This window comes from Homo sapiens, chromosome 18, assembly GCF_000001405.40.
Source record: "Homo sapiens chromosome 18, GRCh38.p14 Primary Assembly".
Taxonomy (NCBI): Eukaryota; Metazoa; Chordata; class Mammalia; order Primates; family Hominidae; genus Homo; species Homo sapiens.
Genome location: NC_000018.10, coordinates 55,774,145 through 55,794,039, shown reverse-complemented (window position 1 = coordinate 55,794,039; position 19,895 = coordinate 55,774,145). Strand labels below are relative to the sequence as shown.

Below are 19,895 nucleotides of genomic sequence, written 5' to 3'. Positions count from 1 at the left end.
TGGTTAACGTGTGAAGCTTGTTTCAGCAGCAAGATGCCATTTATTCCAAACCGGTCATCTATCTACACTTGTTCCTCCCTATCTGCCTTCTGGACTTCCACTACTTCAGCTATCAGAAACCTGTTAAGAAGTCAGTCCAAATTTGTTTGAGCTGATGTTGACATCTGACAAACTGATGATTCACAATTATTTTTCCATCAGCTCAAAAATTATTTGAATTTTCAGTAATACTGTGTTTACAATAAAGAAGTTATTTTTGCTTACTTTAAAAATATATATATTTATTTATTTATCTTTTAACAGAATTGAAGGCTTGAAACTAAGTACTCTGATTTTGAAATAGCACACTTGCCTCCAAAATAAATGGTTTGGGGCCAGGCACGGTGGCACAAGCCTGTAATCCCAGCACTTTGGGAGGCCTAGGCGGGCAGATCACTTGAGGTCAGGAGTTTGAGACCAGCCCAGCCAATGTGGTGAAACCCCATCTCTATTAAAAAATAATAATAATGCAAAAATACAAAAATTATCTGGGACTGGTGGGCCATGCCTGTATTCCCAGTTACTTGGGAGGCTGAGGCAGGAAGATCACTTGAGCCCGAGAGGCAGAGACTGTAGTGAGCCGAAATCACACCACCACACTCAAGCCTGGGCTATAGAGTGAGACTCCGTCTCAAAATAAATAAATAAATAAATAAATAAAAATTTAAAAAAATGGTTTGAAAGATCATCTTTCTTCTTTTTTGTGGTGTCTTTTTATGTTTTAAGCTGTTATTCTTGCAGAGAAATACAACATTGAGAGGCATATTGGCAAATGAGTTTAACAAAAGTAATCCTAAAGCTTCAGTAAATCAAGGGGTAATATTACAGAAAGAACATTTTTTCTTAAACGTTGTCATATTCTAAATTAAATAACCCTATCACACCAAAAAAGTATATGTTGAAATTTATTGGCATGACCTAACAATTAAAGTAAGAGACTAAGAAATACTGATTTTCATTTCCATCTTTCCCACTAATATATGCATACACACAAACCCACACACACACAGGCATATACATATATATTTCATTAAGTTATTTAATCCACAATTTTATACTTTCCCTTGAAGTGAACACAAAGCATTTGACTTCCACATGGTAGAGTTAGTGAGTGAGTTACACGTCACTTCATATCTCACTAGTCTTCTTCTGCTTCTTATAATGTAATCTGTGAATGGGCCATGCACAGTGGCTCACGCCTGTAATCCTAACAGTTTGGGAGGTCAAGACAGGAGGATTGCTTGAGTCCAGGAGTTCAAGACCAGCTTAGGCAATGTAGCAAGACCCCATCTCTATAAAAAAGTACAAAAATTAGCTGGGTGTGGTGGCTCATGTCTGTAGTCCCAGCTACTCAGGGGGCTGAGGTGGGAGGAATGTTTGAGCCCAGGAGGCAGAGGTTGCAATGAGCCAAGATTGCACCACTGCACTCCAATCTGGGAGACAGAGTAAGACCCTGTCTCAAAAGGAAAAAAAAAGAAGAATTATGCTAATGACTGCATTTGTAGGCCCACAAGGCCTCAGTATATGGGCTATCCCTGACAGAAGCAAAATCTTGCTCCTCCCTTCTGGAGAGATCTAAGGAAGTTTCCCTGCCAAAAGAGGTATCCGCAAGGATCATGACAGTGTAGGCCTAAGGGGCAAAGCTATATTGGACAGACTTTAACCTGAGACAAGCTGGGAGACCTCAAAGCAAGACATTGCATGAAGGAGCAGAGAGCTTCAATGAGAACAGAGGACAAGATCTGAGAGAAATGCTAAGAACAGCCTCCAGCAAGAGTAGTCAGGCAGTCCAAAGCTAGTGTCCAAAGGTCTTGTCTAGATCAAACTAGGATTGAACAACAAGTGGAACAAAGTGGCATTGGAGTAGAGCAAAATTCAGAGCACAGGGTCTAGCTGTATTCACCAGGGAGGAGTCAAGATCTAAGCTCCTGGGAGAGAGACTGGGAGAACCAAGGAGAGCTTCAGAGCTCCAGTCTTTGCTAGAGCCCAGGATTCTGGATACAGTGTCCAGGCTGAGAGCAGCATGGGGGATAAAGCAGGCAGTCAATAGGATGGATTGGGTTGTGGTGTGGGAGGGCAGGATGGGGAGGGGTTAGACTCACTGGGACTCAGGCCGCTTGTGCTTGGGCTTCAGTGCTCGTGCAGCACATTGATGCGTAACTATGCATTCATGGTTCTGTCTCCCCTGCTAAGCTCTGAACTCCTTTGAGAGGAGCTGCGTTGTGTCTTTGTTTCTTCAGCACCCATGTAGTCTCTCCACAGAAGAGGAGCTGAATTGGTGCCTCTAAATGAGTGAATACAGGGCCCAGAGTGAAAAATTAGTGAATGAGTAAACATGAAACCACTCTCAAAAGTAGAAGAGCACACATTCTATCTGGCACTTGGAACATACTCTTACAGCAGAATTCTGTCTTTAGATCATAAAGAGAGTTATCTAATGGTGGTGGTGACATGCTTCTCTATATATGAATACCAAAAGACTTAAATTATAGCCCTGTGCCTTTATCTTTTATGGAGGCTACGACCATCTTGACTATTTCTTACCTGTCAACTGTATAAGGCATGTATTATGGTCAGAAATAGAACTATAAAGAAGATAAATTTAGTGTTAACTAAATTTAACTAAGGCAATTAAGAATATGGCTTTTTTTTTTCATTTCAACATATCAGAGACTACTAACCTTATTTCATTTCATCCCTTTTTCCAAGCTCTGAACGAACTTGGATCTATTCTTCAACCTCTTCTGCCCCGATCATTGCTCGGCTCAGTTTAAACGATCATTCTTCCTTCTACTAACATCTTTTACCTCTCCTCTGTCTCTCTCTTTGGCTACTTCCTCCTACCTCTAAATATTTTCACTTTCATGTATTTGTCAATCAGCCATTTGCTCATTTAGTCATCCAATAAACATTAATTAAGCTCTATGCCAAGTACTATCCAGCTGTTGAGTATGCAAAGGTAAAAAGATATTATTTTTGCCTTCAAGAATAGCCCAGTACAATGAGAAAGACCCACTTCTACTCATGAAGACATACATAACAGGATAGTGTCTTCTACCACTTTCCTTGTCCTGTGGAAGAGTTCAGTCTAGCTCCAGCTAATGCCTCTTTGGAGAGAAGCAGGGGCTTCCTCTTTTTTTTTTTTTGTTATCACCACCTTAAGCCCCACACCTAGGGTTGTTGTAAGATAGATGAGGCCTGGGCAGGGTCTCGGGAATACACAAACCTAGCTCTAGAGTGCCATATTAAATGCTGCTCAAAGATGGCTCTTACTCATGGTCAGTGAGAAGGGCAGCTGGGTGCTAAGTGGGCTTCCATGCACTTCACCAGGGTTGGGGACAGAGAGTGCCTTCCCTGGTAGAGATCTGTAGTTCCTTCACCTCCTGCTCTCTATTTCTATAGTGCATTCTCCCCCTCCTCTTACCCTGCCCCTGGGGATATATAATTAAAACTCTGAACTAGATTAGTCTCTAAAGGCAGCAAAACTCACTCAACAAGTATGCATTCAAATCTTTCTGATTTACACTAAGACCAGAGGATTTTCAAATATTTTTAGCCTTTGTTCTGGGTGACTCACTGTCTAGCTGTCTAGTCCTGGGATAGGGAAAAGGGAGGGTTGCAGAGATCAGGAGGATGTCCTCAGGAAACAAGTAAAGAAATGCAATTACCTCAAGGATAGAAAAAAAAATCTATTAATATATTAAATATATCAATGTATGGAGATATAACCCCTCTGCCTTTTTATGTAAACTGCTAAGTAACAGTGCACAAAATGAGAGAGATGGAGGAACTGGGGGTGGGGACTCCCCACCCAGTCGGCCAGGAGACAAAGCCTTGATCCTGCCAAACGTTCTAATTCAATTTCTTTCCATACTTTTACTTCTCTGTTTCATGCAAGCCTGCACTTTTCCTCATCTATTCTTTTCTTAATTCCTGCAACCTGGCTTCCATTTTCACTGCAGTACTGAAACTAGGCTCTTAAAGATTACCAAATGCTTCCTATCTGGCAAATCCAGGGGATATTTCTCAGTCTTCACTTTCCTTTGTGTCTCTGAAGCCATGGTCCCTGTGGCAGCCACATGGTCACTAGTACCACGTTCAACATTTGCTTGTCCCCTAACCAAGAAGATTTTGAACAGAAAACTTTGGGTGGCTTGGTTGTGAAAACAGTAGGTACTTAGAAGGATTTTTTCTTTAAGTGTTTTTCGAAACTACACTCTCTTCCCCTAGATTATGACATTCTATCCGAGTTGGGGCAGAGAGGTGGAGAAGTTGTGTCTCCTATCTGTTGATGATCACTGGTCTACAGAAACAAACTCCTGGAGCCTGAAGACCTCTATTCTAATCTTAGCTTTACAATCTGCCTTTTCATGCAACCTTGGCAAATCACTCAGCAGTTTCATTTTAAAGACAGAGGTGATCACATGTGGACAGTGGCAAGAAAAAGAAAAAACTGATAGATCACAAACAAAGCTGATACTCCAGTGCGCTGCACTGATCTGGGTTCGGAGGAGGCTACATAGTCATTTCCAGGACAAGGCCACTCTAGCCAAGAATGAACCATCACAGAATGCACCTCAGGGCCTTAGGAGATGCTGCAACTTTTCTCTCAGTGCAACTCCTGCATCCAGGACAAGGACTGGGAAAGAGAATAAAAAGGAGAAGCCAGCAGTAAAAAGGTGGTCTCTGTGGAGCAAGAAACTCTACTTTGACTTCAGTCAATTGTTCCACCTACTGTTGCCCATGAGAACAGCCTGTGTGCCAATTTCCTTTGAAAATTTCTAGGCTTCACAAACTTCTCCTTACAGTTTGGAGGCATCAGCTTTCAATCCTCTGTTAAGCTTGTTTCCCCCACTGCAGAAAAAACAACATGTGCAAATGTTTCCCAGTACTTTTCTGCTTAACTAAACAGACCCTTTTTCTTGTTCACATGAGGAATAAAAGAAACTCATTTTTAGTTGAACAGAGCTAGCTCACTTTAAGCTTTCATTAAGACCCATTTTCACTAGTAAATACGTCCATGTGTAATGAAATGACTTTGCAAAATCTAAAGAATTTGTATATTTTTATTGACCAACAATAATGAATGGTCTCTTTTGCTCGTTTGCCTTCCATTGCATTTAAATTTTATTTATTATTTATTTTTAATACTATCTTCTTTCCTTTTGCCTCTTGAGCACTAATGGTGAATATTCCACCAGGCTTACTCAGTGCTCAGAGCTTTCCCCTTTGTACTCACCACTAGAGACCCCTCGTGTTCAGGACAAGCATTATGACCTCCACAATGATGGCATCTCTATTACTTATTTCCCAGTGGTGCTTCAGTCTTGTAGGGACGTTCAAAATACCCTGGCTTCACCTGAGTGTAGATTCACATTCCATTCAATTCTATAGGAGGAGAAAGAAAAATGAAATGAGTATCTAGTATCTATGAATGATCTACCTTGTACCGGATTCTGTGCTGATATTTTATACATCATTGTCCCTATTTTTCAAGTTACAGAACTGAAGCATAGAACACTGACCTCACTGAAGCTCACCCAGCTAATAACAAACAAACAACTGATATGGCCAAGTTCCTTGCTGAGATCTGTCTGACCCCCATGCCCGTGAGTTTTTTTTACTATGCTACTTTCCTTGAAAGTACAGCATACAATCATTCCTTCATTTCACTCAAGAAAGGAGATCAACTTCCTTGTATTAAATTTGGAGTTCACATTTTTTGGAATATTAAGACAATTTTTTAAACCTGCTAATTGATGTCCAGGACTAATTTGCTGAATTTACTCAATATGTCTCGAGAGCTTACCTAGTACTGGTAGCTGTTACACATCTGACTGGCAAAAACAATCAAGACACACTACTGGTCATCAAAAAGGTTGCCATCTTTTTTTCTCTAATTTCAATCTCTGTAACATATGGTCTGCACCACATACTAATCTCCTTAAAATTCCATTTTCATACTAAAAGAACTTTTCTTAAGCACGTATTCTATGCCACAACGTGTGCCTTCTATTTGAGTTATCAAAAAGATTCAGGCACCTCTAACCTCAAGGAACTGACATTTGGGTCATTCCCTCATACAAAACCATCAGTGGCTTCCTGTCAACCACTTTGAACCCAACCTTCTCTGCAAAGCACTTATTCCCGTGTTTAGTCATCCTTCTCTACTCTAAACTCATAAACTATGACTGCCATACCATTTAGTTGTTATAATTGTCTCTCATATGTCAATTTTATCTCCCAGTGACACTATAATCTACTTAAAAGCAGGGCTCATTGCTTACAATCATTCTTTTTGGTCATACACAAGACAAGGGATTACTTCTTTGGCTTTGAATCCAAAGAATTCTTTCATCTTGTGATGATTTAAAGAACTTTAAAAGAATTGTTGATTGGTATTTAAGGATTAAACCCAACACTAGAGAATTTTCCTCCTGGTTAAAAAATCCACTTAATTCTTTAATACAAAATAATCACTGAGATTTTTGATAAAAATTGATTTTAAAAGATGTTTGTATGGAAAGAGGAGAGAAAGCATTGTTGGTCATATGACAGCTAAGTTTTCACCTTGGTTCTTTTTAATTATCAACTATCATTTTGGTTTTTCTTTCACCAAATTGCATCTGAAATTTTGCTAGTCAGGCCAAAACTGTATTCCCATTATTCTGATATTTCAGAGAAATGTCAGGCCAAATCCTTGTGCAATTTTCTTATAATAAGAATACTCTTATAGTCATCTTATTTAGCTTTTGAGTATGAGAGAAAGGAAATATTTCACTTTAGGCAAAGCTGTAGGGTAAGGGAGCTTGCTTTCTTGACCCCACCCCATTTTGCTATCTGTGCCCCATGGCCTACCTTGGACAGAGCCAGCTGAAAGGACCCAGGAGACTGGGCTTTCATCTGTCCACTGGGCCTGGCTGGCTGCTCCTGATAAGCTTCAGTGGCTAAGAAGTTTGATTTGTCCTGAAGAATACAGCATCTGATGGGGAGCACAATGGGTTGACACTGGCAGGGGAAATAGTATCTACTTCCTAACACATGGCCATGGATGCACTGTGGTAATGAAGGATCTAGGAGCAGGTGGAAATAGAATTCCACAGAGGCAGCCAGCACCAGAAAAGTTGGCCAATAGGTGGATGAGACTTAATCCTTGGCCTATCTGGTTCAGAGACTTGGAAATGTAAGACGTATCTTCAAGCCAGTGGACTAGAAAACCAGTGAGTCACCATCTCAGCCACACAGATCCAGGGAAACAGATTAAAACTTCAATTAAACAAAATAGGCTCTGCAGTAAGTGTAACTTGGGGCTCCAATAATTCCTAGAGAACGAAGAAAGCTCACCTTGTGAGTAAGACTAAGTGGTCTTCAGGGCTCCAGAAATTCAGGAGTTGGATTCCAGCTTAACTATAGTACTAGTAAACCACAATGCAATAATAATTAGGACACATACATTAATGCAAGACATTATCCTTTCAAGTACATTCTTTTTTTTTTTTTTCAGAGAGACAGGACCTTGCTCTGTCATCCGAGTTGGAGTGCAATGGCCTGATCACATCTCACTGCAGCTTCCATCTCCTGGTCTCAAGCAATCATCTCATCTCAGCCTCTCAAGTAGCTGGGACTATAGGTGCACACCACCGCGCTGGCTAATTTTTAAGTTTTTGTTTTGTTTTGTTTTGTTTTTTTGTAGAAACAAGCTCTCATTATGTTGCCCAGGCTGGTCAACATAAACTCCTGGTCTCAAGAGATCCTCCCACCTCACTCTCCTGAGTAGCCTGGATTACAACCATGTACCACCACACCCAGCCTATAAGTATGTTCTAACTGGAGCCTTCCAAAGTGTCCAACAATGATGCCTAGGGTCAAATGCCAAGGTGGGAGGCAGTTTTTGAGGCCCTCAGTTCACATCTTCTGCTTTTGCCTACTCAGAAGACAGAACCAGCACAGAGATTTACCTGTTCCAACGTGATGTCCATTTGGTTGGTTTTCTTTGCACCAAGGATGCAGGCAGAATAGAATAGCAGAGGGGCCAGCAAACTATGGCCCATAAGGCAAATCTGGCCCACCACTTGGTTTTTGTTTTTTTAAATAAAGATTTATTGGAACAGAACACCACAATTTATTTACATATTATGTAGAACTGCTTTCACACTACAGTGGCAGAGCTAAATAGTTGTGACAAAGACTGCATGGCCTGCAAACCCTAAAATATTTACTCTCTGTTCCTTTATGGAAAAAGTTCACTGACTCCTAAGGTAGTGCATAGGGGGGTCAGACTGTCCACTATCCTAAGAGCTCTGTTCCTATCCTTACTAAGCAGGTAAGTTTAGGCAAACCACTTTAACTCTTTATGCCTCAGAATTCTCATCATTTAAACTGTGATAATAATATAATTTCCTTCGTGGAGTAATCAATCCTCCATATCTACAGGTTCTACATCTGTAGATTCAACCAATCATGAATCGAAAATATATGGGGGAAATATTTTGTCTGTGCTTAACAGGTACAGACTTTTTTTCTTTTCTTTATTCCATAAATAACACATTATAGAAAGTATTTACATATCATTTACCTTATATCTGGTATTATAAATAATCTAGAGATAGTTTAAGTATACAGGAAAATGTGCATAGATTATATATAAATACTATGCCATTTTCTATCAGGGACTTGAGCATCCACTGATTTTGGTATTTGCGGGGGTCCGGGAACCAGTCTCCTACAGATACTGAGAGAAGATTATAGTTACAAAAACTTAATGCAATCATACATGGAATGTGCCCAGCACAGTGTCTGGCATGTAATAAGTATCATATAATAATTAACAATTATTGCTATCCATCAGGTAACAGCACTTTCAGAATTGTATTCAAGCAGAATTTGTTTCTAATATAGAGCCTATAAAGTAAGTATGCACTCTTGATAAAGGTACCAATACAGGCACTGGCCAAAACCAGTTGAATCTGGATAAGGTACTTGGTTTTAATATTGTCAATATAAAAATTTTTAAGAAGATCACTTACCATTCTTTATTGCTGGGAATCTCCACAGTATCTTGTAAATTGCTTTAAACAGGTACTTAAAATTTTCTGTTGGACTCTGTCAAATGCAGATAAGGGTCATGAAGGAAAAATTTACATTTCATCAGTATTAAAAATTTATTAACACTCATGAAAATGTATTTTATTGTGCTTTTTTTGATGTTTTATATTACAATCCCTGCCACATACTTTGAAAAAAATTGCTTCACCGTTGCAGCTTAAACCTTCAAATTCTCTCTTCAACTCAGAATGCCATTCATTAAATTCCTACTTCTAAGGAACCATAAATGCAGTAATTTAGACCCTGATAAAGGCTTTAAAGTTGTCCCATAGGATACTTGGGGTGGAGAAAGATGGAACATTAGTGTCAAAGAAGCATATTATTTGATTCTCAATATAATTAATAAACTCTTCCTCTCCCCCACAGGAATCTGCTAAATCTCCAATTCTTATTTGCATTGAAGCCAAAGATTTAGTTACCTACCTAACAGAAAAGGGGGGAAAGATCTGAAAACGGCTTTAAGTATTTAGTAGTTTAAACCCTGCATAAATTGGAGATTTGAATAAAAAATCAGCCCTGGTATTTTTCTATGAAAATAGTGAACAGAAGGAATATATGTGCTCAGAGGAATAGAGTTTTATGCCAAACATCAATCAACCCGGCTTTAGAAGACTATTTATAATACTGTGGGGGATCTGGGCAGTTGCACTTCACACTGTGAGGACCAATCCATGACATTAGTGAACAATTGAAGTCTTTACAAATAATTAAAACTCTGTTTGAAAATGGAGATGTTTTCCACAGCTTTCCTGTGTATGCATGATGTCATCGATATTCAAGAGTGTAAATATTGACTAGTTATTGCTGGTAGCCAGAAGGAGCAAAATCCCCTTTGAAATAATAATGTGGAGTGTGTGTATATAACATATACATATGTATGCACACACATATGCATAGAGATGTTAAATATATAGTCATATAGGGAGAGAGAAAATATAGATTTCACTTTATATGACAGTTGAATAGCTATACTTTAAACAACCTATGTTCACTGCCAGTACAGTTCTAGTGTGACTGTGTATGTATGTATGTGTGTGTGTGTATGTGTATGATATGCAAAGAAAACGCAAAAATATTTCTGAAATTTTTTATCTGTGTTTTTGGTTTTTTTTCTTAACATGATAATGAGAGATATTATAAAGCACACCTTTTGTCTTTAAAAAATAACCTCTTCATTGTTTAGATTAGTATCTAGAAATAGAAGATTTTAGAGCTTGCATGGATGGAATTAATAATCTTATCTTATTTTCATAATATTTTAAGCTCACCTTAAATCCTTTTGGGGTGGAAGTAGAGTACCATTAATACATAAATTAAAATCCTGAAAATGGCTCCTTCATTTGACAATTTTTCATTTAAGAGACATGGGACTTAGAAAATTTTTGAGATTTAAAAAAATCCCTCCAGATTATTATTTCAATTGACTCATTTAGCTAAGAACGACTAAAGATATCAGCACATTTGGGAGTGTGAAGATACTGAAGAAACAAAAGCCATTTCCTTTCTCCATGGAGCTTCCAATTCCGAGCCAGATGTAACATACGTGCATGTGTGGGTTTTATCAACTACAGAATTGGGCTCTCTACAAGAAGTCATTGGGTGTTGCAAACAATAAGTGCAAAAAGAGAAAAGGAAGCAATCTGTACAGGTGAAGAACTGACAGGAAAGAGGTAAGCCTCACCTATGACAAAATGAATTGTGGATGCTGGATCACTGAAGTAGGAGAGAGGATGGCAGTGCAAATCAGAGAAATGTCATTAAAAAGGGGGGGTGCGTGCACACAGTAAGTTGGGAGAAATAAAAATCAGAGAGTAGAATGAATTTGAGACTATGAACTAGATTAATTAAGATTTATGGTCTTGGCCAGGCGTGGTGGCTCATGCCTGTAATCCCAGCACTCTGGGAGGCTGGGGCAGGTGGTTAACCTGAGTCCATGAGTTCAAGACTAGCCTGGACAACATGGTAAAACCTTGTCTCTACAAAAAAATAAAAATTAAAATTCTAACAATTAGCCAGCTGTGGTGGTGCACAACAGTAAGTCCCAGCTACTCAGGAGGCTGAGGTGGGAGGATCGCTTGATCCTGGGAGGCAGAGGTTGCAGTGAGCCATGATGGCACCACTGCACTCAAGCCTGGGCGACACAGCAATACCCTGCCTGAAAAGAAAAATTAAAAATTAAAAAAAAAACTTATGGTCTTATGAGTGGGCTTTCAGTTCCATTTTTGGCTTTACAAGATTCCCACTCAATCAAAATTACACATACAAAATGGAGTGAAGAAAAGCTTTGCATTTACTTAGGAGGTGAAAGAACCATGATAATGTTGGCCCATCCATTTTAACTATGTTAGTGAACATTAAAGTTTGCTCCTTTAAGTGATTTGCCCATGTGTAGGTAGGGAATGTATTTCACACATCTTTTAGACTCTCCACTGTATGGACCAAGAGCAGGACTGACTGACTACACGTTGATAAATTGTTTCAGGCCACTATACTGGATATACTGAATAGACTGAGTGAAATCTCCCCGACGATCTTCACAGATGACTGGAGTCCACAGAAGTCCCTGACCCCCAGTGTTAAAGAGGCCATTACGAATACAGGTTATTATTAGGATAGGAGATATTGTCTGGAATTAAAGTCACCACCAGTCAAATTGGCTGGTACCAGATTCCTGTGATATCTTTGTGCTGTCAACACATACAAAGAGAAGTGTGTGAAAATTATTCAGTCAAAGAATAACTAGCCTAACAAAGGGAACAATTCTGGACAAAAAGTAATCCCGTTTGATTCCAAGAGTAATCCTGTCCGCAGGACAGCTTGGCAAATCCCCCACTTGAAATTTTGTTTTAGAAACACGTTCTCTGACAAGGCAAGAATTCCTCCTAAGATGACATACAGAATTCAGGCCCGAAGCCTGGAAGTCTTGCTCTGAGGCCCATCAGCATGGAAACAGGCCTTTTTAAAGGAAATAATCCAGATATTTTCTTTTTCCTGATGCCTGTGTAGACGTGTTTCCTTGCAGCTCCTTTCAGTTGGCCTGAATGCGGGAAAGCACCAGGGGGAGCTCACACATCTTCCTTCTTTTTCTCCCCCTCTTACAGAAGGTTGGCTCTTGTATCCTAGCAAAAGGGTGGGTCAAAAACAACAACATGCATGAAATGATTCAGAAAGGTAAACAAAGGCAATTCGTTCTGTAAAAATACTCTAGATTCTTTCTGAGGACTGGGCACTACACTGCTCATAGTGGGCACCTAAAGTCAGCATTCAGCCAACTCAGCGGGCTTTAAGATGGAGACTCTTAAACCTCCTGCATCAAAAAGACATAAGGGAATGTCCCTGAGAAGAGCCTGTGTCTCCTTTGAAGAGAGAGAGAGAGATTGATTCTGCCTCCTTGCAATTCGAACCGGCATTTTCCAGAACACTCCAATTTGAATCACAGTGGAGGGTCATGGGAGGGATTTGGCACAGGGGAGTCTTGGGTCTTTGGTTTTCCACATTGATCAATGGGATTGATTTTTTCTGTTTTTGTTTTTGTTTTAAAAGAAGAGAATTAGTTCCTTTTTCTGTCTCCAGGATTGAAAACATGAAGGCAAAGAAGAGAAACTCACAATATGTCATTAACTTTGGGTTATCAATATTAGTGGAAAGAATCAATGGTGCAAAGAATCCTAAAGGACTAGATAATCCGCATATTCGACTTCCTGATTATGTGTTACTGACACTAACATTTCAGAGTGTGGAGACCCTGCCCCATCTGGGGAGAGGGAGAGACAAAGACCCCCTGCTTCTGGTACTTGATTCACACATAATGCCCTCCATTTACTGCTTTCAAGAAATAACCTGTTTCTAATCTTAAATTTCAATCTACTGATCACAAAATCATAGAGATCTTAGCCTTGAAAGAGACTTCATGAGACCATGTGACCAACTTTCTGACGCAGGTGAGATATCATTGTTTTGCATTTTATTTTATAGAGGAAGTCACTGAGATTCAGAAAGGAAAATTAAAGAGGCCGGGTCTCAGTTGAGTGATTTTTCTCCGTAGATTAAAAAATCCATTCAGTATCCAGTTCCCCTTCCCCACCTACTCCTCCTAATAAGGCTGTGAATAGCGTTTTTTATATCCCAAGTCTAAACTTTGAGCCATTGGCAACCCTTAGGAGGAAAGAGATGAATCACAAGGGATTGTGGAATCATTAGAAATTGAGGTAGCTGAACATCTGGGGGAACGCTCGGCTTGATTCAAAACTCTCATCAAATGTGGTTTTCTCCTGGGTGGGAGGCCGCTGAGCCGCAGGGAAGCTGCGGGGCCAGCTGAGTAGCCGGCGGCCTGTTGGGTCCCCAGTGTCGCGCGACAGCACGACCCGAGACAAGGCACCTGGGGCTGGTGCCAGGCAGAGGCCCCGCGTTGCGTGGCCGGCGGCAACAGCGCCTGGCGGTCGGTTCCGGGCGGGGCTGCAGGCGCCGGGTTCCCGCGGCCGCGAGGCGGGGCTGGAGGGCGCTGCGGGCTGCGCGGAGGCTGCGGGAAGCGCGGGGAGCACGCGGAGCCCGACTAGCAGGGAGATCGCGTCGCGCCGGGCACAGGCACGGGACCCGCGCTCTAGGAGGGCGCAGCGAGAGGCGCACTGCGCACCCAGGGGCTGCGGTCCCGGCCGCCGTGCGGTGACAAGCTGACTCCCCGCCGCCGCCCAGCCAAGTCCGCGCGGGGTGCTGGCGGAGATGTCGCATGGGAGGCTTCTTCAACGAGGTGCAAATCCAAGCCACCTCGCCTGAGTGAATGAAGGGACGGCGCGGGGCGCGGGTGGGGTTCACCGTGACAAAAGCCCAGTACCTGGTTCAAACTTTTTTTTTTTTTTTGCCCGCAGGATTAGAACATCCGACATTAAAATGTCTCAGTGCAGCAGAATTTCCCAGCGACTTCGGTGGCGGGAGAGCAGCACCTCTCAGGCACAGCTGTGCGCATCCCTCGGGCCCCACCGACCGCACCATCTGACCGCGGGAAACGAAATCTGAGCTCAGGAATTTGAACTGCCCCACGCACGTTCGTTCCCGGATAAATCTCCTAGAGGACCGTGATTTTTCCACTTAGAGATTATTTAGGGAGATGTCCTGGATGGGACAAGTAGACAAATGGCGGCCCGAGGAAAATGCAGGAAACTCTACATTGTAGACGCTTAAGCACCAACTGTCTGGGCCCCGGGGCAGGGAACGGGAGACATTATCCACCGGAAACATCACACCCCCGGGGCTCCTGGCATTTTCTACATCAGTGAATGTGCCAGCGAAGAAGAGTGTGGGGAAATTTTCTGAACATAGAATTCATATTCCTGAAACGTTAAGTCGTGAAGTGGGTGCTTCAGCTGTCCCCCAGCTTTAGGATTTTAACCCAGCTTTGGTTTTGATCACCGAGAGTTATTCCTTATAATCAAATCAGCAAAAGCGTTCAATTACCTATTACTGGTTGAGAAAGATTCCGTTCCCCCAGCTCATTGTATCGGTTCTTGGACCCAAGATGTTAATTATCGGCCAGGCATTCACAGGGGGTTAATATGGCCCCCCTCGACACCTTGCCTCGTACCAGAGACACCAAAAGCTGCCGCTGAGGGATAATAGAGAATGGGAAAAGCTGGTCATGAAAAACCTCTTTTATTCTTACTTGCAAGCTACCCTTTTGACATTCTTTTTTTAACACTAAATGGAGATTACTGAATTGATAACTTTTGGGTTTTCTCTGTCACACTGGGGTTTTTTTCCCCCCGTTTGTTTGTAAGGTTTTTTTGGTTTTGGTTTTGGTTTTGGGGGGAGGGGAAGGGGGAAGTGGATAGGGAGATGGAAGAGTGTTCTGTTACTGGTTTTATCAAATCCTGTTAGGTCTTGTTCTTCAGTGTAATGTAGAATGGAGAAGTTGCATAAGTACATGATTGACAAACAAGGTCTCTTAGAAGAGAGTTAAGGAGTAGGAAATATAATGTGTCCTGGAGAAAAAGAAAGAGAAAACCCTTAGTATGACACACTGGCCTTTAAATAGAGGACACATGAATATGCAAAGGAGAGGCACGTGTGAAATAAGGTGTGCCTTGCTGAGCCCTCCCGCCCCCACCCCCCATGTATCAAGAACTTTACTTACATTATCTCATCTAATTCTACCCACAACCCAAGAGGAAGGGCGATACTTTTAATTCGGGTTTTTACAGACAAGAAATTTGTATCTCAGAGGCCCAAAGTAAATTGCCTGAGGGCATATAGCTACTTAGGACAGAATTAGAATTGATTAAAGAGTCAAAAATTCTTTGAGAATTAATGTTTTAAACTCTCGATTAGTTACCAAGGGAATCTGAGAAATTAATTAACTTTTGGGGGGATCTTTAGATTAGTGGGGAAATTATGTTAAGCCCAAAGAAAGACAAGCCCGTGAATTTTCTTGTTATCTATGAAGTGGTTTGGTGAAAGGTGTGACAATTTGAGAAAACTGAAAAGTGCTGAAATTCCTTTAATAAGGTTCTGTTTAAACTGATAGAGCTACCAGATATAATTAGGCAGATATCCATTTTCTTCTGGAAGCTTCTATTATTTGAGAAGAAAACTGAAAAGCTTTAGACTGTTTCAAATTAAGGACAATTTGAATTTTAGTTGGAAAGCGGATAAACTATCTGTATGATTGAGTTTAAAAGGCATGGAAAGACTATTACGAAGTATTGATCCCACTCAGTGAGAGCAAGCACAGCTTTCAAATGATACAGATCTGGCTATGAATTTGAATGGTGACTGTGCCTAGCTGTGTGACCAAGGGCAACTTTCTTAACCTCTCTGGGCCTCTGAGTCCTCGTCTTTAAAATGAGACAAATAAGCCCTTGCAAGACGCTTGTGATGATAAAATAAAAGAGTATGGGTGAAAGTCCTTAACAGAATGCCTGATATGTAGCAGATACTCAACAGAGTTAGCAATGTTTCATTTAATTAAAGCATTTGAGAGCAGGATAGGGAGCACCACTAACTTCAGCTCTTCAACAATTTTGCCTGGGGCTGGCTCTGGGGAATAGACTTGGATTCTCACGAGTATGTGAATCTTCAGTTACTTCCTTGAAAGGACAGACAGTTATAAAAGCAAGCAGTGAAGTCTGGGAAGGTGGAGGAGAATGGTTATGGAAAGTTATCCCCACATCATAAGTCTTCCTGATCTTGAGATCAAACAACAACACTTTCAGAAACAGCAAGAAATTAAGGCTGAAGCAAAATACCCCCTGTATAATTTTTAAGTCAGTTAATAATGAAGGTGTAAATAAAACAGAAATGTCTCTGTTCTTACTTAAATCTTGAACAAATAAGGGATTTTTTTCTTTAGTGTTTTTTAATAGTTTAATCATTTTTTAAGACACAATTTTTGCCTAGTTACTGTTTACTAACTGCCCTGCCAAAAATTAGTTATTACTTCAGGACTTATGTTTGAATAGAACTGCGAAATCCTGCTTTAAAAAGTACTATGAAACAATTCATCAAAATGTTTTCCTCTGATATTTTTTACCAGGTAAAGGCAAGATTACTTCTGGAGATTTTCTTTGAAAATAATGATTTTTTTTTCCTGATTATGAAAGTAATACACGTTCATTATGGACAATTTAGTATAAAATGAGAGAACAAGCTATAAAGGAGCAAACGAGAACACCCTTATTCTCACCAGTAAGAGTTAACCACTTTTAATATTTTGATGATTTCTTTCAGTCTTTTTACCCTTTATTTTTTTAGCCTTGGTACGAACCTATGGAGTATAAAATTGTGCATTCTTGTTTTTATATTTATTTTCTCCCATGTAACTAAAAAGGATCTGTAACATTTTTAGTGACTGTCTAATTTTATATCATACCAATATGATATATTAGTATCATTTTTTAAGAAACAATAGAGAATTCTCTATTGTTGAGTGTCTGTGAGTCCCAGTTTTTGCTATTGTAAATTATGCTAAACAAAAATCTGTGTGCATAAATCTCTGAGTTTAAGATTATTTCGTTAAGATAGACTTCTATAACAAGAATTACTAGGTTCATATAATACTTCTAATGCTTTTGAAATATATTGTCGTATTGATTTTAGCAGTTTTCAGTCCAAGCAGCAATAGATGAAGAGAGCTGTTCTCTCCTAATGCCTCTAGTCATAGTGACTGATACCACAGCCAAAACAAAAAAAAAAAACAACAACAAAAAAAACAAATCTTTTCTAATTTGATAGGCTAAAGAAAAGATCTTGTTGTTTTATTTGTATTTTGGGAGGGCTACTGCCATTGAACAGCTTTTCCAGATGTTCATTAGCCATTTTCTCTTTTGTGAACTATCTATTACTGTCCTTTGCCTGTTTTTCTATTGAGGCCTTAATTTTTTTAACTGTATTTATATAAACCCCACGTATCAGCCCTTTGTTGTAATTGTGGCAGTTTTTTCCCATTTTACTTTTTGCATTTTAATGTTATTCATGATTTTTGATACATAAAAATGTTAAAGATTTATTTAGATAAATGTATCAAGTATTTTTTAATTTTTTTATGTTGCTCTACAGAAAATCACCTAGATATTCACCTATTTTTTTCTACTTGCATTTTTATGAGCTTGTTTTTACATTTAAGTCTTTATTGCTTTTGTACTTTATTGCATTGTGAGTTAAGAATCTGATTTTTCCCTCAAATAGCTAGGCAGTTTTTCCAATACCGTCAACTCAGTGTCCATCTCCCCCTAGCTGATTTACTGTGCCTCCACATCAGAGACCTCTTTTGGTTGATAAAGATGCAGGGATGCTCTTCACAGTACAGTTATTAACAGCCAGAGCAATATATGAGGATCAACTAATCGGAACCAGTCATAAGCATCAGATTGGGCCAGCAAGCACATCCCAGGTGAGGACCAAAATTGCAAATGGGACCTAAGAAGTTCCTGCATGCAACAAAAGTGGTTTCCTTTCAAAGAAGGATATGTTTAAATTAACTTAACATGTTTAAAGGGGGACTCTCCTGTAAGTTTCATTTGGAGCACGTGGAGTTTACATTAGTTTCATTGTGTTCATTCAACAAACACTAGTTAAGCCACCCCTATGGACAGGTTCTGTTTTAGTATCTCAATAGGTGAGAGAGAGAGAGAGACTCTAAACAGACAGACAGATAGATGATAGATAGACAGATAAATAGATAGATAATCTCCCTATTTCTCTCTTTCTGTGTGTGTCTTTCTCATATTGTCAAAAAATGCTACTGAGCTCAGTGAAATTCACATTAAGTGGTAGTACCAATTTTCTATTATTGATGTCACATCATTTCTCTTTCATTACAATAATTGTTACTGTTCTTTGGGATACATTCCCGGTCAACTCATCCTTTCCTAATATGACACAAATTGCATCTGCCGGTAATTTGGTCTGCTTATTAGTTGATAGACATTGTAAGTCTTTGGTTTGTCCATCTGTTCTCATAGTTTGTCTGCTCCTTAAAGAATTGGATTATTTGCTACACTTTTCAGGTGGCTTTATTTTGCATATATTTCTGAATTTTCTTTTTCATGATAACAATACCAGAAGGATGTCCCAATTTTACATTCTATCTTTCCTTTTGCTTTGAAATAATTTAAATCACTTCAAGAAAGATTAATAAAGAAATTATATTTCTATCGAATCTTTATGCAATTAGGTTACTGAACTTTTGAAATCAAAGGAGGAAATCAGATTTTGTGGTTTTGCCCAGTATACTATAGAATGTCAATATTGTTCTATTATAAAAATAATATTCTATATATTATATTCTTATATTAGAACAATACTATTCTATATATAATATGCTAATATAAGAATAAGACAGCAATAGACCAATTGTTCCTGTTAAGGAAGACTTGTTGATTCACTGGTGCCCACCCATTGTAGATGGGGTGAGAGGATCGGGACTCTGCTGGGATCTGACATCTGGGAATTCCCAAGGGTCCAACATTGGATGGACAAGTGGAGCAGAAGAATCCATCATTAGGAGGAACAAAGGGTGAGGAATTCACGGGTCAATTGTGACTCCAGAGCCTGGAAAACGAACAACAACCATGAGACTGCTACCAGAGCCAGACTCTATCCCGGGGAGAAGGAGTGTACAGAACCAAGCAGGTCCTTGCCACAGAGCATGGGAGAGAAATGGGGCCCCAAAGTGTCTATGAATTGACCGAAAATGAGGAGGAAAATGTTGACGTCATCCAATTAGCAGAGATTAACCAGATTAGGTTTTCTGGCACTTGGCAGAATGGTAACTCAAAATAAAAACTGAGTTTAGTAAAAAACAATACAGATATTTTACATTTCTTGGTCATCTTGATTATCACAATGACACTAGTATGGGCCCTAGGTATAGACATTTATTTTTGTGCAGTGTAAACCTTGCTGTGTTCAAGCGTGACTACAGTACTAGATTCCCGCCATTCCCTGAAAGGTTAACCTGTTCTTGCTGGGGACTGAGTTCTCTCCCAATGCCTGTTCTGAAACAGCACATCAACTGCAATCATGGTGCTGTCACTTACCTTTCCCTAACCATCCTCTTGAAAGTCTGAATTTCCCATCCCCCAGATTGTATTCCTATGGAGTGAAATGATAGCCTTGATTCAGCTTGAGTTTGTCATTCCTCCTTCAACACAGAGACTCAGACTATTAGTTACTTCCACTCTCAAAAGAGAAAGCTGCCAAGAAGGGGGTTAGAAGCCTAATGAAAAAATTATTTTCATGCATCCCCAGTAATGGTAGAT

The 19,895-nt window shown here is 39.9% G+C and overlaps 2 long non-coding RNA genes across 8 annotated transcripts in view; one reads left to right on the top strand and one right to left on the bottom strand.

Moving 5' to 3' along the window:
- LOC105372130 (uncharacterized) overlaps positions 1–19,895 on the bottom strand; it is a 177,123-nt gene that overhangs the window by 48,360 nt on the left and 108,868 nt on the right. The window contains exons 3-6 of one of the 5 annotated variants that reach the window (XR_007066382.1): positions 9,066–9,141; positions 7,384–7,454; positions 5,279–5,427; positions 2,142–2,323 (exon numbers count right to left, since the gene is read on the bottom strand). This is a non-coding gene — a long non-coding RNA (uncharacterized LOC105372130). Of the gene's footprint in view, positions 1–2,141; positions 2,324–4,774; positions 4,894–5,278; positions 5,428–7,383; positions 7,455–9,065; positions 10,236–19,895 lie in introns of those variants that run through there. The other 4 variants (XR_935487.3, XR_935489.3, XR_935488.3 and 1 more) reach the window with 4 other exon arrangements.
- Positions 12,315–19,439, top strand: LINC01415 (long intergenic non-protein coding RNA 1415). Of its 3 annotated transcripts, none has more exons than NR_145452.1 (2): positions 12,315–13,085; positions 14,010–19,439. It is a non-coding gene; the product is annotated as a long intergenic non-protein coding RNA 1415 (long non-coding RNA). The 3 variants fall into 3 exon arrangements; NR_145454.1 differs by lacking the exon at positions 12,315–13,085 and adding an exon at positions 13,290–13,352; NR_145453.1 differs by lacking the exon at positions 12,315–13,085 and adding an exon at positions 13,619–13,891.